Consider the following 19748-nt stretch of genomic DNA (forward strand, 5'->3'; position numbering starts at 1 on the left):
GATATTTCAGCCCTTCTATATTCTACCTGCAATCTTTACCTTTCCAACTTTTATATTTTGCTGCATCTCTCATGTAATTTATACTCAAGGATTATGCTTTCCAGTTGGGTATTCAAATTTTTGAAGCAAGTTTGATATACGTGAACAGATGAACTTGCTATTTCCATATCCAAATCTGACAGCTTCTAATTCAAGTGACACCTTGTCCATGAAGCCTTCCCTAACACCACAGCTGAAAACTGTCTCCACCCTCTGAGCAGTTACAGCCCTTTGTCCCTTCATTACTGAGCTATTACTTCCTCTTATCTTCCTACGTTTTATTATAGCTGCTTTATCTAGTCTGCTTTCTAGAATTTTTAACTATTAGATAGTCACTGTCCTTTCAGCAGGGTCTGTTTCAGATTTAATTTTTTGTGTACCCCATCACCTCCTCCCATGGTAATATTCCATACATGTTTACTGAATTGGTATAAATGAAGGGATGAGAAAGGTGTATAATAGCTTCTTAGAAAACTTACTTTTTGATGACTACTTTAACTTATAAATAACCAATCTTATTGACCTATCCTAATTTATATATAGATTTCCTGTTGAAGTTCATCCGGACGCTTGAAAATTGGCTTTCTAAATACTAAATTTCATACTTTCCCCCTATTTTACACTATTAATCTGCCAGCACAAAAGTAAAATTTAGGTAAATCTTTGACAAAACTCATACAAATTCTAAACTATCATCTTGATGAGATTAAGTACCACAGATGAGTTTAATTGAAAGTGTCTCATGATCAACAGCTCTCTTTGAATCATGTTAATAGAAGCAATAACATGCATTTAAGTAGTGTGTTACACTTTACAAAGTGTTTCTACAGACATGACTTCATTCCTGTTTCACAACAACCTGGTGAGATCAGTAGGGTGGGAATTGTTGGCCCTGTTTTACCAATAAGGAAAAGGTAAGGTCTAAAAGAGGCTACCCAATTAGCAAGTTTCCATAACTAAGTAGATGACAGAACTAGGACTAAAACCCAAGATCTCTGAACCCTAGTCCAGACCTCTTCCAATTATTCCACACCACCTACCTTAGACTAACTGAGGTAACTTCATTCCCTTTCCAGTAATAGGTTTAGCAAAGGATGTATTATGACTATTGAATTCCAGCCATTGCAATACGAGGACAGGTGTGGGGAGTGGTATAAATTTGTTGCTCCTAAGACACATAAGAAAAGCCCCCTTTTGATTGTCTCCTGGATATAATTATACATGATGTTTGCTTGTTTCTCCATCTTGTCGCAAGCCTGAGGGCTGAGCCAATGCAGAAGAGGGGGCACCAAGAGAAGCAGAGAGGGAGCCTTGAGTGCCCCTCACCTGCAGCCACCCTGACCTTGAACTTCTTGATATGTATGATTTTTCATTTCCTTATTATTTTTTAAGCTAGAGTGAATTGGGATTTTCCATTACTTGCATGTAAAAGCATCTTAACAGAAACAACATAGGAAACCTTATAAGAGAATTTGGGATAGAGAGTCCTGGGTTTTCATCCTCTCTCCAACACTCTGAACAGAGAATGTTACTTAACTGTTTGGAGCCTCAGGTTCTTGCCAGTAAAAAGAGGGATTCGAGCTACTACTGCTCAGGGTTATCCGGTCAAATGCAAGTAGTGGGAAGTATCTAGCACAGTATCTAGCACATGATGCTATTATTATAATGATTATAAATGATCATTATTATTAAGATGGACTCCAACTATATCAGTGCCATAGGTACTTTTTTAAAAGTGCAAAAGTAATTTGGTGCAAAAGTATTTGCGGTTTCGGACTGTGAATTTTAAATTATTATCGCTAAGCTCAAACACATCTTTATTAATCAAAATAGGAACCATTACAGTTAACGCATTTTTGCCAACAAGTAATAAGTTTGTTTATTCCTATAGCGTAAAAATCTGTGCTTCAGGATTTGATGAACATTGGAGAGCATTTTCTGCATCCTGCTGGCTGAGGAAGCGTTTTTCCTGCAAAAGGCTGTCGAGATCCTTGAAGAAGTGGTAGTCGGTTGGTGAGAAGTCAGGTGAATATGGCGGATGAGGCAAAACTTCGTAACCCAGTTTGCTCAACTTATGGAAGCATTGGTTGTGCAATGTGCATTCGGGCGTTGTTGTGGAGAAGAACTGGGCCCCTTTCTGTTGACCGATGCGACCGTAGACCTTTCAGTTTTTGACACATCTCATCAATTTGCTGAGCATACTTCTCAGATGTAATGGCTTCACCGGGATTCAGCAAGTTGTAGTGGATCAGACTGGCAGCAGACCACCAAACAGTGACCATGACCTTTTTTGGTGCAAGTTTGGCTTTGGGAAGTGCTTTGGAGTGAGAAGAATCTAGTTCCAACCACTGAGCTGGTCATCATCAGTTGTCATATGAAATCCACTTTTGTCGCACATCACAATCCAATCAAGAAATGGTTTGTTGTTGTTGCATAGAATAAGATGACGCTTCAAAACGACATTTTTTTTTCTCAGCTCATGAGGCACCTATGAGTGGGTACTTATTGAGCTTTTTCACCTCTCCAATTTGCTTCAAATGCCAAACAACCATAGAATGGTAGATGTTGAGTTTTTCAGCAACTTCTCGTGTTGTTTTAAGAGGTTCAGCTTCAATGACTGCTCTCGGTTGTTGTCAACTTCCGACGGCCAGTCACTATGCTCCTTATCTTCAAGGCTCTCCCCTCCTTTGCAAAACTTCTTGAACCACCACTGCACTGTACCTTCGTTAGCAGTTCCTGAGCCAAATGTGTTGTTGATGTTGCAAATTGTCTCTGCTGCTTTACGACCCATTTTGAACTCGAATAAGAAAATTGCTCAAATTTGCTTTTTGTCTAACATCATTTTTATAGTCGAAAATAAACAGCAAGTAAGAAGTCATTAGCAAAAAACATAAAGTGAGAAATGTACATTAAAGTGATATATAACATAACATTTAATAATGTATTCCAGTATCAAATGGCAAATTTCAACAATGCAAAAATCGCAGTAACTTTTGCACCAACCTATACTATTTAAAACTACAACTTTACACAAAACCATTTTATAGCTAACTCATCCTTTCTTTTCTTGTCAGGTAGGGATCAGAATAAATGCAAAGGTTGACACCTATCATGCTTAGATCAAGAATACCCAATCTCTGAGTGAACTTCATTTCCCTGAAGCTTGGAGATCGTTGGGCAGAGGATGAAAGAGTTGATAATAAAATTACAGATTGTAGTTGGGGTTGGGGGACTGCTACCAAGACTGGAATTTGCCTTGAAGTCAGCAATCAACCCTTCAAAGCTAGGCTAAGAAATCAAAGGCTTGTCATGTATTTGTTTTAAGTTTTCCTGCAGGAAGGTTTTTAAGGATTTAAGAGTTCAATTTTATTACACTGAGAGAGGGAGAGAGAGATTGCTATCTCTTGTCCTGAAAGAGCAAATAGCTTGGATAACCTCATTTTCCAAAATGCTATTTATACAACTGTGAGGTCATGGTAGTTTAGGTAGTTTAGACTTCCTGGGTCTTCCTGGATTGTAGCCAAGTGACTTTTTCATTTTCACATTACAAGAAAAATTGTCATGTCATCTTGGAGTGGTGTCACATTGCTGGGAAGAGCCCATTTTTATTGGCAGCATGATCCTCAAACCACTGTATTACCTATCACCCTGCTGTTTGATGGAATGGACCCACTTCTTGTCTGGAGAGTCTATCCTCACCCTGACTGCACACAATTCCCCAAACAGCACCTCTGCCAGCCTTGAGTAGAGACTAAATATCTGTGTGCTCCAGGAAAAGCCAGAGGACTCAAGATTGGCCCACTAAGAAAGTGTGAGGCTTGTGGGTGTAGTGACATCAGAGCCATTTATTAACAGTTTGGGTTTATGTCTTGATTTCCCAGGGGCAGGGACAACAATGTGAGCAACTACTTACAGATCCCACAGGATCAAGGGGCTTTTTCCCACTAAATTTAGTCTGCCGGAAACCCGGATAAAAAAGTCACTCCTCCTTGAAGGAAGTCCCTACCTGCAGCTGCTGGTGTCAGTACTGGAATCTCATCCCAGTGTGACCTTCATTGCCTCTGTCAGTGTGACAGGTTCCACAGAGCTGTCACCCTGCAAACTCACCCTTCCTCCAGGAGCACAGGCGCAGAGCTGCAGTGGAGGGTACCTGTGTGGCTTCCTTGTCTGACACAGATTTGCCTTCATCTGGTAAGTCCCACCTCACTCCCCCAGTTCCCAGGAAAGGGCTTTCTTAAACCAGCACAGCCCTGGAAGGGCCTCTCTTGTTTCAGGTGGGAGAACCAGCCCTTGTGGCATTCTGCAGGGCTTTGAAGTGAAAAGAACACATGGATGATTATTCTTGTGGTTTCCCTAATCTGTGTGCGGAGGGCAGAAGGAGCCAGGTGATCCTGTGTTTGAAATAAAACAGGTTACTCTTCTGAAAAAGGAGGAAGCAATTTGCTTCTGTAAGTACAAATCCTCCTGCTGAACCCCTGGGCCAGCCACCTCTAGCTGGCTTTCAAATGTGACAAATTGGTGCCATTTCCAGTGATGGCTGTGAGGCACTTTTCACAAGCTCACTTGTTTTTCAGCAGCTCTCACCTCCACAAAGAGACAAAGGAAAACCTAGAGGCCTAGACTGTGGGGAAGAAGTGCCAGAACAATCTGCTGAAAGTTAAAAATAAGTCTTAAAGTCAGCTCACTGCTGTCTGTTTTCCAAGGTCAGACTGACTGATGATTTTAGTCAAAACAGCCAAACTAGCTTCCCTGTGACCTCTGTTCAAGGTGGCTCCCCGTGGCACACCTGATGGCATCCATTCATGGTCCTACTGCTCAGAGGGCCTATGCTGCCATGTGTAAGAGCTGAAAAATAAGCAATGCATGACATCTTCTTCAATGAGCTTTTATACCAGTAGCTATTCACAGGGTTCTTATGACTAGCTAAAATAATTTGAGAATCAGGCTCTGTGCGATATGTTAATATTTGGATACATTTTCTAATGAAATCCCTATAATCTCCTTACAGCCCTGTGAGGAGGGTACTGGTCACTACCCCTATTTTGAAGCAGGCTTTCCCAATGTGCTGATTATTTTCTGTCTGCCTCTCTCCCATGAGTTCTCCACCCTTCACTACCCTGCACTGTGCTCAGAAGGCTGGTCCTTACAGACAGCACAACCTGACTCCCTTGTGAGCTGACTTTGGTAGGCCTCGGGAGATCAGAGTAGGAAGAGAAGAGGTCAGGGTGCTTCTTTCCAACTTCCTCCGTCCTTGGGGAGCCATTTCTTGCAGCAGCTGCAACTCTCCATGGACTACTCGGCAATTGGAAGCAGGCTTCCCTCCAAGGTGCTCATGCTCACTGGGCTCTGGGACAGCATTTTCTCCTTTCTGCCTCCTGCCCAGATGAGTGATGGCTTCCCACTGCTGCTAGACCCTGGATGCCTCTCTGGCTTGTTTGTTCCCTCTACCCTGTCTTCACCTCCATAAGTAGCCACTTCATTAAAGTATCATCATTTGAACCAATGTGCTATTGCCAAGACCCTGAATAACACACCCAGCCAAAAAAGGTGCAGGCCAGAGATGCAAACTCATGGTATTCAACAGTAGGGGAGGAGAAACATAAGCTGAAAATAAAACGAATAAAATTACAAGAGCTATGAGAAAGTTACAGAAAGTGTTATGGGAAATCAAAGGCCAACAAAAATACTTTGTAGAAGATGTAACATTGTGTTAGGCCTTTGAAAAATGGACAGAATGTAGACAGATGGATATGAAAGAGTTTCAGATATGAACAAAGACAGCAAGGCAAAAAAAAAGCACAGAGCACATCTTGGGAACAGAAGTGGTTCAATTGTAGAAGTGGGGTAAACTTACGGATGACGTTTTTCAAACTCCATTCTTTTTTTGAGACAGGGTCTCACTTTGTCACCCAGGCTGAAATGCAGTGGTACAGTCACAGCTCACTGCAACCTTGACCTCCCAGGCTCAAGCCCCCCAGGTAGCTGGGACTACAAGCACACGTCACTAGGCTCAGCTAATTTTTGTATTTTTTTGTAGAGATGGGATTTCACCATGTTGCCCAGGCTAGTCTTGAGCTCCTGAGCTCAAATTCTGTTCTTTAGAAGGCTTCTATATTGTGAACTGTTACTTCTGTATTGAAAAAAGGATTCCGTGGTCAAATAAGATTGGGCACCTTTGAGATAAACGAGCTTAACTAGATTTCTTTATGCAAGACTTCTCAGAGTATTTGAAATGGTAATATCCATATTTAACTACCTTTTTTTACAGGCAATTTATTGACCTCTTCCAGAAGTGTGGGAGGGAATAGAATTTGGGAAACACATATTGTCCAATAGCATTCTTTAATCCTGGGGGACTCCATGGTAGAGCAACTCAGAACACCCTGTAGTGGCCAAATTCAGAGCATACTGCAAAGAGTTCTGCAGAAAGCCAGTCAAATGTCATAAATCATGGACAAATGGCACCTAGAATGCCACCATGTAGCCATAGCGTGAGTAGTGAAATGTAATTAGCAGGCCAAGTGGAAACTGAATTTGTTATCTGACATGAACTGTAAGGAAACAATGGTAAACAGACCCTAAATGGAAGTTCAGATTAACATTCTGGAGAGTGTGAGAGCCCCAGTGGTAAAATTTCATGTACACTCACTGTGTCCTGTTCCTAGTGGCTGGCAAGCTAAATTATTTCTGATCTAATATTTTTAACCAATTAGAATTTTATTCATTAATTTAATCATTTATTAAATTAACATTAAATAAGCCTTTACAAAGAGCTAGGTTCTCTGCTAGACTATAGCAGAAAACTATAAAGACTAAAAAGGAAAACAAGACAGATTTCCTACTCATAAGGAGCTCTGGACTGCTTGAGTTTCAACATGTAAATATATATAATTACAACATAAGATATAATTTTAATACAACCCTCTAAAAAACATAAGTTAAACTTACAAATCTAGCACCGAAGGGTTTGGAAGCCTTCAGAGAACAGCTGATATTTGAGCTTGAAGGATGAATAGAATTTTCCACAAAGTAAAGGAGAAACCTCATAAAAGACCCAAATTCAAATATCCAGACCCCACACTGAACCACATGAAAGCTTACTCCTTATAAAGGAGTAAAAAGAGAATCCAACATTTATGGATAAATATAAACAAAAATTGAAAACAAAATAATTTTCCATAAAAGATTTTTAAAGTTGTAAAGATTTCAGAAAAAAAATTTCCAATATAAAATCTTCATTTTCTCTTTTGTTCTTGATCATAAGATCCAGTATGCAAGTTAGAGTAGATCAGAGAAGCCCCATGCTGGCCACTTCAAATTTGGAGACTTCAAATTTGACCAGAGAAAATGAGAAACACATAGTTATTCCAAAATGTTCCCAATATTTCAGTTTACAATAGTGCCCAGAGCATACAGGAAATTGCAAGTACTCAAGTCTATTTTTCTTTCTGATAATTTTAGATTGGCATATTCTAAGTAGGATTAGAGTAAAGCTTTTACTTGCTGTGCAGCTCTTTTTTTCCTACCATATGTACCAATATGACAATTTAACCCTACAATAATTTTGTATGTTAAGCTTTTATATATTACACCTTCACATATTTACATTTAGAGTGCCTGACTACCTATGTTTCCAAAGACTTAAAATGAGTAATCTATACTTAACAAAAATAGAAATTTTTAGAAAGTTTTGAATGTAATACAAATATATTTGTTTTCTGTATTAAGTGCTGTAGAGATTTGAGTGGTTTATCTTGTTAGATTTGTTTTTATTACAGGAATTTTACTATGGGGGTTTTACTTTTTACAAGGAAAATTTTAAATTAAACATTATAAGAAAAATGTGATTTTGCCCTAAAAAAACACTGACAAATATATAAACCTTGTAATATTCATGGTTCAATAGGTAATTGTTCAATGAATGAACTGATGGTACCATAGAGGAGATTGGAGGAGGAGACAAAAAATACAACCATGGCTCTCATTTGAATCTATAATTCTTCCTGAATTCAATATTAAAACTCTCTTGCCTGTAGACCAGACTGAAGACAAGATTTGGGGGTGTCAACGGGAGTCCTGGGATACATTTTTTCTTATAAAGTCTGGATTAAACTTTTTAGCATGGATAATATAACAGTTTGATTTATTCATTTATTCATTCAACAATTTTCAAAAACATTTATTGAGCATTCACAGTAGTAACAATAGCAGCAGTGATAGTAATGATAATAATAATTATAATAATAATACGTATTGCCAATTTAGAATTTACTTTGTGCTGAGCTCGATGCTATGGGTTTTGTACTGATTATCTCACTGAATCTTTACAACACCCCTAAATCAGTCTCATTGTGCAGATGAGAAAAGTGAGGCACAGAAGGTCACGTAACTTGCCCACATTCACCCAACGAATAAATGAATTCTAAGTTGAATCCAAGTCAGTCTGACCACAGAATTTCACATCCTTTGCTACTCCGGGATCCCATGGTAGGCACCGTGGGTGCCCCAAAATTAAAAAATGATGTGGATCATCTTCCCGTAAGGATTACTATGTCATAAGCTCAAAGACTGTAACAGCAGGTTATCTAGGTTCTCTACTAACAGACAAGAAATCAAGGCCAATGAGTGTGGTGATTTACCCAAGGTCACACAGCACCTCTATGGCTAAGACACATTTAGAATGCCCCACCCTGTGTTGACTTTCATTCCAATTCTCTTTTCACTCACTACACAGAGCTGAAAACCCCCACTTACTGAGTAAACTACAAGATCCACGTAACACTTTATTATTATCAAAGAAATATGAAACCATATGGAAATGATTTTGAAATATGCCCATTTATCTCCTTAGACATAATCCTTTTTGATAACTTTCAAACTGACTTAAATTGTTGAGGCTACATATGGATCTTGGTCTCATAAAAAATAAGCACTAAAATTTAGTTGAGTTGAGGTTGAGTTTAGAGTTAGTGCTGGTCATGCCACCCTAAGCTTCCAAGTATCATTCAGTCCCATCTTGTTTCCTGCTTTGGGGTTATTTAACAGGTCATTCGTGAGTTATTACATAACTGGAACAAAAGCAAGATAGAATCAAAAGGATACTTAGAGCTGGAGTGACATCAGAAACTGATGCAACCTCCTTATTGTCAGGACGGGAAAAGGCAAGTCTGGGAAGCAATATAACACAATGGAATCCAGCAAAAGAATGGGGCAGACTGGGCAGAGGTCACAGCTGTGATCCTTTGTACTGTAGTATGGCACCGAGTAGACTATTTTAAAACTTTGAACCTCAGAATCCTCATCTGCAGAATGAAGAAAATCATAGCTTCTCTATTTGTCTTAAAGATTACACATAGGCCGGGCGCGGTGGCTCACGCCTGTAATCCCAGCACTTTGGGAGGCCGAGGCGGGCGGATCACGAGGTCAGGAGATCGAGACCATCCTGGCTAACACGGTGAAACCCCGTCTCTACTAAAAATACAAAAAATTAGCCGGGCGTGGTAGCGGGCGCCTGTAGTCCCAGCTACTCGGGAGGCTGAGGCAGGAGAATGGCGTGAACCCGGGAGGCGGAGCTTGCAGTGAGCCGAGATCGCGCCACTGCACTCCAGCCTGGGCGACAGAGCGAGACTCCGTCTCAAAAAAAAAAAAAAAAAAAAAAAGATTACACATAATAAAATATACTCCACAGTACCTGGCATATAGTATGCATTCACTAAGCATAGATACAATTTAGTCCTAGTTCTGCTCCCTTAATTTATGCATTGATTTTCTCATCTATACAGTGGATATTTTTCTTCTTGTCTGTGTTACAAAGTAGTTTTGTGAACACAGTGAGGTAATGTCCAGATTTTTATGCTTTGAGCTTCAGCTCAAATTCTACCTCAAAGCTTTCAGCACCTGCCAGAGTGGGAATTAATGATTCCCTCTTCCATGTTCTCTAGCTCATGTCTGTATCCTGATCCAGCTGATATCTTGCTTTCTCCTATATTTGATTTTGTTTATGTCCATTGCATACATTCCTCGAGCTGAGGGGTATTTGCTTTCTCTCCCTGACAGCCCAAATAACCTTACACAGAGTGGATGATCAGAAAATGTGTGGGCTTTGCCCTGAATGCATTTTGAACAACTCCATTGCTACGCATATAAAAAGTATTCGGGAATTACAATTATAGAGTTGAACTGAGTTCTTAAGAAGCAGTGAGGATTTCGGTTTTGGTTCCCCCGACCCCCTCCCCACTGGGGAGGGAAATGGGACGAGTACAAAAAGAAAAGCAAACCTCTAATCTTAGCATGAAGACATCTGCTGTTTACATTGGTCATTTGTCTCAGAGGTCAAAATACAGTTCTATCATCGTCCTTATGGCAATCGTGATGACAACCTAACAGCCAGGAAGTAGCCTCTCATTTTACTCTTGGTAGCTCTGAGGAACAACAAAAGCTTGTGGTGCATGTTCAAACCCTGAGCCCCCGTGGGACATCTGTAGTTAAAGAGTCCTTCCTATTAGCTCTTTGGATAGTGGGCGGTAGTCCCTGAGACCAGATGAAGGACTGTTGTGCTCTTGGGCCCTTCTGTGCCTCAGTTTTTCTCTCTGAGTGATGGGAATAATCATCTTGTTCTCCATGACTCTAACTTGAAACATTGCAACTACTAGGAAAAAAATGAGCAATGAATGTCAAAGCTGACTGAGGTGGTACTGGAGGACTACACTCCGAAGCAGAGCCAAGTGTGATAAATATAACAATACCTAATATTTATTAAGGGCTTGTTCCATGTAAGAAACTCTCCTAAGCACACTATGTATATTCATTCAATTCTTAAAAGAACTCTATGAGAAAGTCCTGGTTTTACAGAGGAGGAAACTGAGGTACAGAAAAGTTAAGTGAAAAGCCACACAACTAGTAAGCGTCAGACCTTGGATTGGTACCCCATAGTCAGATGCCACAGGCCACTCTTAATTATGTTGCTGTATGGTCCTCCTATATGCATCTCTTTAATTTTGTGCCTAGCGCAATGTTTTCCATGTAATATGTGCTCAATATATATTTGTTGGATTGAAGTGACTCTAATACAACTTGAGCATGGTTGATAAATCTCTCCCTTCTTCCCTTCCTTCCAGCTGCACCTCCAGTTCCTCTATTAAGATACTTACCTTTTAATGGTGTTTCTTCAATTGGGAGCTACAGACACTTAGAGATCCTCAATTTAATCTTTAAAATTTTTATAATAAAAGATAAACACATTCTGGATCATTGGGATGACCATCTCATGCCAAGTACTGCCTCTTGATTGCAGCACCTGTGTGTACTAGTCTTTGGCAGCAAGAGTTACCACTTCACTTGCTATGCTAATAAGAGAGAAACAGCACAAATACCTAAATAATGTATTAGAGTCAAGAGAAACCCATTGCAATGACATATGGTGTGGGCAAAGGAGATATGGTAGATGGAACGAAGGAAAGAGGTGAGAGAATTGAGTCTGCATTGGGCACCTCACACATCATGAGAGTGGCAGAGCCACAGGGAAGTCAAAGGTACTGACGCCTCAGCTGTCAGTACCATGCAATGCTGATAGTAGTCCAGGAAACGTTACTAATTTCAATTTTATTATTCTGGAAGAAAATTTTTATAAATCTGTTTTGGTTTTATTTGCGAGTTGTTCAAAAGCTGTAACATAAGTTTATATCTGGTTTTGTGTCTGTGTGTGTTTTGAGACAGGGTCTTGGTCTGTCACCCAGGTTGGAGTGCAGTGGTGATCATAGCTCATTGCAACCTCCACCTCCTGGGCTCAAGCCATCCTCCCACCTCAGCCTCCCAAATAGCTGAGACCACAGGCGTGTGCCACCACAACTGGCTAGGTTTTTTGTATTTTTTATAGAGATGGGGTTTTGCCATGTTGCCCAGGCTGGTCTCAAACTCCTAAGTTCAAGCAATCTGCCCACTTTGGTCTTCCAAAGTGCTACGATTACAGGCGTGAGCCACTGAGCCTGGCCTATGTCTCTATATATTAATGTGACATTTTAAAAGAAAACAATTGAAGCTAAGCTAAGAAAAATTTGCCCTTAAAATGGTGGAAAATATCAGTTTCCTTTCTATTTAAGAAATACCAGGCCGGGAGCAGTGACTCACGCGTGTAATACTTGCTGAGAAGGGAGGATACTTGAGCCCAGGAGGTCTACGCTGCAGTGAGCTATGATCCTGCTACTGCACTCCAGAATGAGCTACAGAGGGAGTACTTGTCTTGAAAATAAAATAAAAGAAAAGACCACACAATAATGTGTTCAGGGCTTTCTCATGTAAAAGTAATTGCAAACACCAACGTATTAGGCATATCAGTAACACCTTGGTGTGAAATAGCACTTTAGACCTTCCCTTTCTGAGAGTAGACTTTGATAGGAGAAAGGAAAGCTAAGTAGCTTGATAGAAAGCATGGCTCAGTGCAAAATCTTGTCCTACCATTCAGTAGCTGTGTGATTTTGGGCAAGTCATAAAACCTCTCCAAACCTCCTGTTCCTTATAAAAATTAGTGTAATCTCTGCACCTTCTTCACCACAATGGCCTATATGTAAAGCTCTTGACCGAAAACGCTCAATACACAGTAATCTATACTAAATAGGAAGGCTCTAACACTAGGACCTTAAATGGCAAGGTCTCCAGCCTGGTTAGGAGAGGACTCCCCGCACACCCCCCTACCCTGGCCCCCAACCACCACCACCAAGATAACGACCGCTTGGAGTGATTCAGGGAAGTAGGCCCACTGGACAAGGAGGTGGCTCCACCAGCTGGTGCCCCGATGAAGAACTGAGGCCAGTGGGCTCCCCAGCCACCGCCGCTCAGAAGCTGCCAAGCACCCCCGGTGCTTTGGGCCCCACGCACAGCACTGAGTGCTGTAAGGAAATGCAAAGCATTGGTGGCCCTGCCATGGGAATACAGGTTTCTGTTCTTTGGAGGCACCGGAGAAACTAGGAGTTCGGTCAGCACCTTAAGGCGCTAAAAGTGTACGTGGGGGTGGGGCGCACACAGGTTCTGAACCAATTCTTCAAATTTGCCCAGGGCTCCCCATACACCAGGTGTGGCCCGCGTCCCTAGTTCTAGGCTGTTGGGGGAGGGGTCGCCTTTTGTAGGGGACCTGGTCTTTTTGCGAGCTGGCAGCGTGCTCCCAGCAGCGAAGGCCGTAGTCTCGCTCAGGAGGCCGCGCGCCAGACCCGGGGATGCGCGGTGTTCAAAGGGTGACGGCGCGCGGGTCCCGGGCAGGAGAGCCCGCCAGAGCCGGTGCTGCCTGGCGCCGAGAGGCCCGGACTGGCGACTGCTGCCGCGCCACCGGGGCCCACCTGCGCAGGGACGCTCGGCCTCAGGCCCTCTGGGCTGCTCCACCCTGCTCCGGCCGCAGGCGAGCGGCGAGGGGAGGGGGGCACGGTTTATGTGCAGTGGGGCGGGCGGCGTCCGCGCGGCTTCCCCGAGGCCGGAGGCGGGGCGGGCGGGCCTCGGGTGGCGCGGGGGGCGGACCCGCCAGCTGCCTGCGCTGCTCGCCAGCTTGCTCGCACTCGGCTGTGCGGCGGGGCAGGCATGGGAGCCGCGCGCTCTCTCCCGGCGCCCACACCTGTCTGAGCGGCGCAGCGAGCCGCGGCCCGGGCGGGCTGCTCGGCGCGGGTGAGTGCGGGCACCGACTGGGGCATCCGCCCGGGCGCGGGAGAGGCGAGGCGCCGGGAGGAGCGGGACAAAGGGCCGGGTATGCGCGGGGTAGGGTAACTGCGGGCTGCCGGAGGCACCGCAGGACTTCGCCAGGGCAGTCCTCGGGGTTCCAGGACACGGGCTGGGGGCCTGAAGGAGCTCTGGGGAGACGGCGGGGGCTGCAGGTCATTTGGATTCATGCAGTGTCACCCATGAAACGGATGGGGAAAGAAGATCCTGCTGTCTTGGGTGCAGGATGTTGGTTGGGAAGCAGAGAGAGCCGGCTCTCGGCAAGCTGTCCTTCGGCGGGGGCGATGGCTACACCCCCATGCACCCCCCCAACACACCACCACCACTACTTCTTTTCCTTGAGTTTTGCATATACCGGATTCCATCAAGTTCTGAATATTAAGTTTTAACCCTGGGCATGTGATTGTGAACACACCTAAGCAAGCAAGAGAAGTGCAAAAGTGCAGCAAATACAGGCTGGGAAATAGAATCTTTTCTCCGGAGTGGTTGTCCGTGTGCGTTCCGGGGGTGCTAACCCTAGACACTACAGTCTGAACTAACAACAGTTGTTGTAAGCAAATAGTTCTTCTGCCTGTAGGCATTCATCACGAGTTAACTTTTAAATAAAAGTTTTAAAGTTTTAAAAGGAGCGGGAGAAGACTTGTTCAGATGAAGGAACACCACCACTCCTCTCCAGAATACAAATTAGGTTTGCTTTCCAGCACCTCAGGAGAAAGCAGCTGATAAAAATCCTGTTTGTTTTACTGCCCACTGGGTGACACCAGTAAGAATTAAGCAGCTCAGTGTAGGTATTGGAATAGGGCTTGCTTCTCTCAGCTCCTGAAACTAAATTTGAGGGCTCCCTGTGCACTCCTTAGGAACAGGTAGGCCAGTGCCAGAATCCTCATCACATGGTCATGTGAGAAAGAATTGAATTTATAGATGAGGTCAGCTGTGGTCAAAAGCCCTATGTCAAAGTAGTATCAGGATATTTATTGCATGTTGTTTCAAGATCCTACTTGTGCATGCGAGTATTTGTGACAGGTTTATAACCGTGCCTACCATGAAGTCTGTCAGGAGTGGATTGGAGGTGAAGTGGGGAGAAGGAACTTAGAAAATGCCCCCAGAAGCCACTATGTTTATTTGTGAAAGTGTTTGCACCCCATCTGCGTACGAAAAGGTTGTTTCACTTGCAGTTTTCCTAGTTAAATAAAGTCAAGCGGTAACTTGTCCTTTCCTGTGCCTGAACTGGGAAGGAAGCCTTTTTCCAAGGTGCCTAATATGGATCTCATTTTTGTAACACTGACGACTTATTCAGCTGGATGGTTAACATGGATGCATTTTCTGGTTGTAGCATAAGTGTCCATTAATGCATCTGAGAACATTTTTGTCCCCAGTCTGCAATGGTTAATAGTCTCAGGTTCTCCCAGTAACTCTTCTCATAGATCCCTTAGGATTTCATCCACCAGGCATTATTCATGCCTAACTCCCACAGACTCCAGGGAATTTGTTTCTCATGTTCTCAATATTAGCAGGTTTTTTTGCACTCTGTTCTTGTTCTGCCAGGTTTGTCCCAGGCTCAATTTAGTTTACCTGAAATCCGATAGAGAAGAGGCTAAACTTCATTTGACCACAAGATTGTGTTTAGGGTTGCTTGGACTTGTAAGTGCCTTGTAGTTTCCTGTACAAGACTGTAATTCTTAAACGATTATGTGATTAGGTCTGTTTTGCCTTAATAGGGTCTGTGATTCAGGAAAACGAGAACAAGCCCGACTGCAGAGTATTCACAGAGCTTGGTTCATTCTTAAGCATTTGCTTTAGGATTTAGCATGATTTCACCGTTCCATATCACTGACCACTGATTCCATGGAAGACCCTTTGTCATCTCTCCAAATGGTGTCCAAAACCTGTATCTTTGCAAACTTTCCTGCCGTTTCTTTCTGTCATTACTGTTTATAGCGGCTGCAGGAATTCACAATTTGTACAATAGAGAATACATGACCTAAGGATTAGGTTTTCCCTCCCAGCACTTGTTTGCTATAGGAGTTAAATCATTCTCTCAAACAGTGGCCCTCTTGAGGAGACCTGTGTTGTTGCAGTTTTCAAGACTAAGGTGCCGTGCAGGAGACAGTAGTCACTGCATCCAGTCTCCAAAGAGATTGTTGTTTGCATATCTGTTAATTATGCAAAGTCCCACCACCAAGGGCCTATGAAGTGGCAGCATCCTCAAAAAGTATAAATATTTTCAGACAGTGGCTCATATTGAGTGATGGAGGGTGGACTGTGTAACCTATTTATGAATCAGATACCCAAAGCTGGAAAAGGAATAGTTTCTGTATTACTAAGCATGGTGAAAAAATATTTTCTTACCTTCATTTTCCATTCTTCCCTGCCAGTTAGGTGAAATGATGCACGGAAACACTTGGTTGGAAACCTTAAAAGATAATTTATGTATACCAGGAATCTTTATTCAGCAAAAGTTTATTCCTAGAAATGAAACGTTATAGACCTAAATTTTCTTCATCCAGACTTAGGTAAAAGGGTGAGATTTGAAAATCTTCATTCCATTTTTAAGGTGTGAGTCTTCCAGGCAGCTCTGCAAGGATAAGGTGATTCATTTATAAGGGTGAGAGAGAATTTAAAATCATGTAACTCATTAGTTACCTTTCCAGGTGTGGGATTATGAATGTTTTCATTACATCTGTTTATACCTTAGATGAGTGTTTATGTTTAAGTAAACTTAAACAGGTATAGCACAGGCTTACCCAGGGTTTATACAGATGGTAACAATAATTATTTGTCTTCTAAGGAATTACTCCATTATCATGTGAGTTGAGAAATGAATGTAAATCCACCAACCTAATTTTAAAGCATCACAGTTTTGCATCATTTGTTGTTTTATTAATGCGGATGAGTCAGGGCAGGCTGCGAATGCCTCAGGAAAGACCCTTAATGGACAGGAGGGTTGTTTCCCCCTCAGGCTTTTCTTTGGGGCCTGTCTTAAGAGCATACACACACAGCCATCCCTCCACTCAGTTCTTGAAAGCTGCCTTCTGCTGGAGTCACAATTTGTACAATAGAGAATATATGACCTAAGGATTAGGTTTTCCCTCCCAGCACTTGTTTGCTATAGGAGTTAAATCATTCTCTCAAACAGTGGTCCTGTTGCAGACTGATCAGGGAAATCTTGTCTGCCAGATAGATGAGAAATTAGCATGATTCATTTTCCTTTTCCTTTTCCTTTCCCCCTCCTTTGCCTCCACCCTCCATAATTCCATGAATCAATGGTCCTGAGAAGTAAATGATAGTACAGACACTATAGTCAGCATCGTCCCTGACCTGGACTTACGTGATTCTGGAAAATTATAATATTAGGGAATCCTGGACCTAAAGACCAGAGCTAAAAAGACCAGCTAAAGCAATCATCTGGTTGAGGATGCTATTCAGAAGAATTTCTAAAGCACCCTAAATAAACATTTGGTAAAGGACTAAGCAACTTAAGAAGCTTGTAGCTTTAATACAGACATCAGTTTAAACCCATTTAAGGGCTTGAGAACCCACAGCTGTATCTTCTAATTTCTGATTAGATATTTTAAAAATATCTAAGCCTAATCAGTTTGAAGTAATTTGATGGGCATTAGTTTCTAAAAGTCTGCATTCATTTCTAAATCTGAATTAAACTTTTTTAAATGCAATTTTATAACTTTTAGCGTTACATGGAAGCTTTAAGCAAGATATATAATGCTGTCAGAACAAAGTCTTATCACACAAGTTAGTAAATAGGGTTTAGTAATGTGGAGAACTTGGAAGCAGAGTTGCAAACTAATAGAAATTAGGACTTATTAAGTCTCTGAAAAATTTATTCTTCAAAGTTAAAGCTTCACACTGTCCTGTTGGGTTAGCAGTTTGTTTTTTTCTTATAGATGGCTGGCTTCTCCTTCACTCCTGGCTAAATGAACAGAATTCAAGTTGTAAGAACTCTGAATTAGTAATATTCTATCATGCAGTAGACTCTTTAGCATTCTCTAACAGGATTCTGTGATTCATAACTGATCCCAAAGTTTCTTGAGACATAATCATTCATCATTTTGCCAAAGAATACATTTGATCCTCTATATTGAGAGGTTGGAGTAAGGCTGTGGCTCATGAAAGAGGATATTGTAACTGCCATGTTCTTCATGCACATTGAAAATATTATCTGTAGCTGATGATAATACATACTATAATACTACCTCATCTCCTACTCTTTCTCCCCCAAGAATCGTATTTTAAAAACAAGAACGCTTGGCAGGTTGGACCTCCGCATTCTGTGTTTTCTTTCTTAAGATAAGCTGAAGTAAAACTTGGCTTACCATGTGCTCAATGTAAGTCACATTAACATTCCCCACATTACTCAAAGGGAGGAGAGAATGGTGCGTTGAAGCCCAAGATACAGCCATGTGGGAGATATATGACTCCTCCTAGTCCCTGTCACATTTGGCAGGGATTCTGGTGTGAGTGGGGCATTTAGTCACCTAGACAGCAACTTATATAGAGAAAAGGCTGCTCAAGTCCTCGATAAGCCCAAGGGATGACTCCTTAGCCAGTAGGTGGGAATAATCAGAACCATGCCCCACAGATCTCCTAAAGGGTTGTCATCACCACACCCATTTCACTGCCAAGTTCTCCATTGGAGAGGAGGACTCAGCTAGCATTGGCATCCCCTTCCTAGTCCACTTAAAACCTTTAGTCTTGGCAATATTCCCAACAAGCACATACAAACACGTGTGTGCACATATGCGGGCACCCCATGTTTTCAAGGATTTAAAGAAATAATTAAATGTATTTCCTTCCTACAAAAGGGCTCAGGGACCCTTCCTATTTGGAAAGATGGAGACAAGTAGAATTTCAAGGAATTAGGGAGTCCCAAGGAACTGGCTTTTCCAGGACCTTATTTCTTTCTTTTCCTATCCCTATTCTCCCTGACTGAAGTGGAAGCCAAGAGAAAAAGTCAAGCAAAAAGGTCCCAGAGGTGGGTGGGGCACACACATATGTTAGAAACACAGTGTGGATATTGGGAATGAGAATGGGCATGCTCAGCTATACTACATCAGATCATTGGGATTTTCTACTTTTATATAAAAGGGAGCAAAAGGCACCCAAAGTTGCCAGTAGATCTGTACTTTCAAACAGGAAGAGAATGAGAATAACAAAACAGTTTCTTCCTAACTTCTGCTGTGTTCCCAGAGCCTCTTGAGACCCACCCCTTCCGGGTCCTTGTTTTTGGATGCTTGGTTGTGAATGAGTTACCCTACCTGCTGAGTCAGCTTCTATTGAACCAGAAGAGTCAGAGCCACTGAGAGCCAACTGATGCTTAAACATTTATGAAAGCACTTTCAGTATTCCTCGTTGTTGTTTTTCTTGTGGGATGATTGATCTGGGCATTTAAACATACCTTGCAGTATAAAATCCAAACTTCTTTGTTTAGTACACATAGCACTTCACAATCTAGCTCTTGCCTGCTGCCTCCACCACTTCCTCTACTCCACCCTTGCTGAGCTAAGTGTGATTCCCCAAATTACTCACATGGTTGCATGTTGCTGTGCCCTTGCACAGACTCTTGTTTCCCTTCCCTAAGTATCCCCTTCTCTCTGTCTTATGTTATCAGACTTCTTTTCTACTTCAGCACCCATCTGAAACATCAGGTGATGCCTGGAAAATTTCTAGGCAATTTGTTCATTTAGAGGGTAAATTTAAATTACATAGCTTACTGAATGACCGAAGCATCAAGGAGGGACAGCTCCACGGTGTCACCTTTACTAGGACTCCTATTGCTTCTAAATGGTGGGTACATTTGAAAAGAACGGGTGCATTTGCCAAATAATACATTTGGTCCTCTATATTGAGAGGTTGGAGCGAGGCTGTGGCATACTATTTCTCAAGCATCACTTCTCCTAGAAGGCCTCTCTTGTTCTTACTCCCACAATTGGCCTCAAGCTGTTTCTCTGAGCTACCGCATCATCCATGTACATCATTGTCATTAGCGTCAGCAT

At 42.2% G+C, this 19748-nt stretch overlaps 1 protein-coding gene across 6 annotated transcripts in view; it reads left to right on the forward strand.

Moving 5' to 3' along the window:
- The first annotated feature begins 4105 nt into the window (after positions 1 to 4105).
- PRSS23 (serine protease 23) overlaps positions 4106 to 19748 on the forward strand; it is a 161840-nt gene continuing 146197 nt past the window's right edge. For 5 of the 6 annotated variants that reach the window (NR_120591.3, NR_120592.2, NR_120593.2 and 2 more), the window contains exon 1: positions 13577 to 13686. The gene's annotated coding sequence lies outside the window, so the exon portion shown is untranslated. Of the gene's footprint in view, positions 4231 to 13576; positions 13687 to 19748 lie in introns of those variants that run through there. The other variant, NM_001293180.2, reaches the window with a different exon arrangement.

Source organism: Homo sapiens, chromosome 11 (assembly GCF_000001405.40).
Source record: "Homo sapiens chromosome 11, GRCh38.p14 Primary Assembly".
Taxonomy (NCBI): Eukaryota; Metazoa; Chordata; class Mammalia; order Primates; family Hominidae; genus Homo; species Homo sapiens.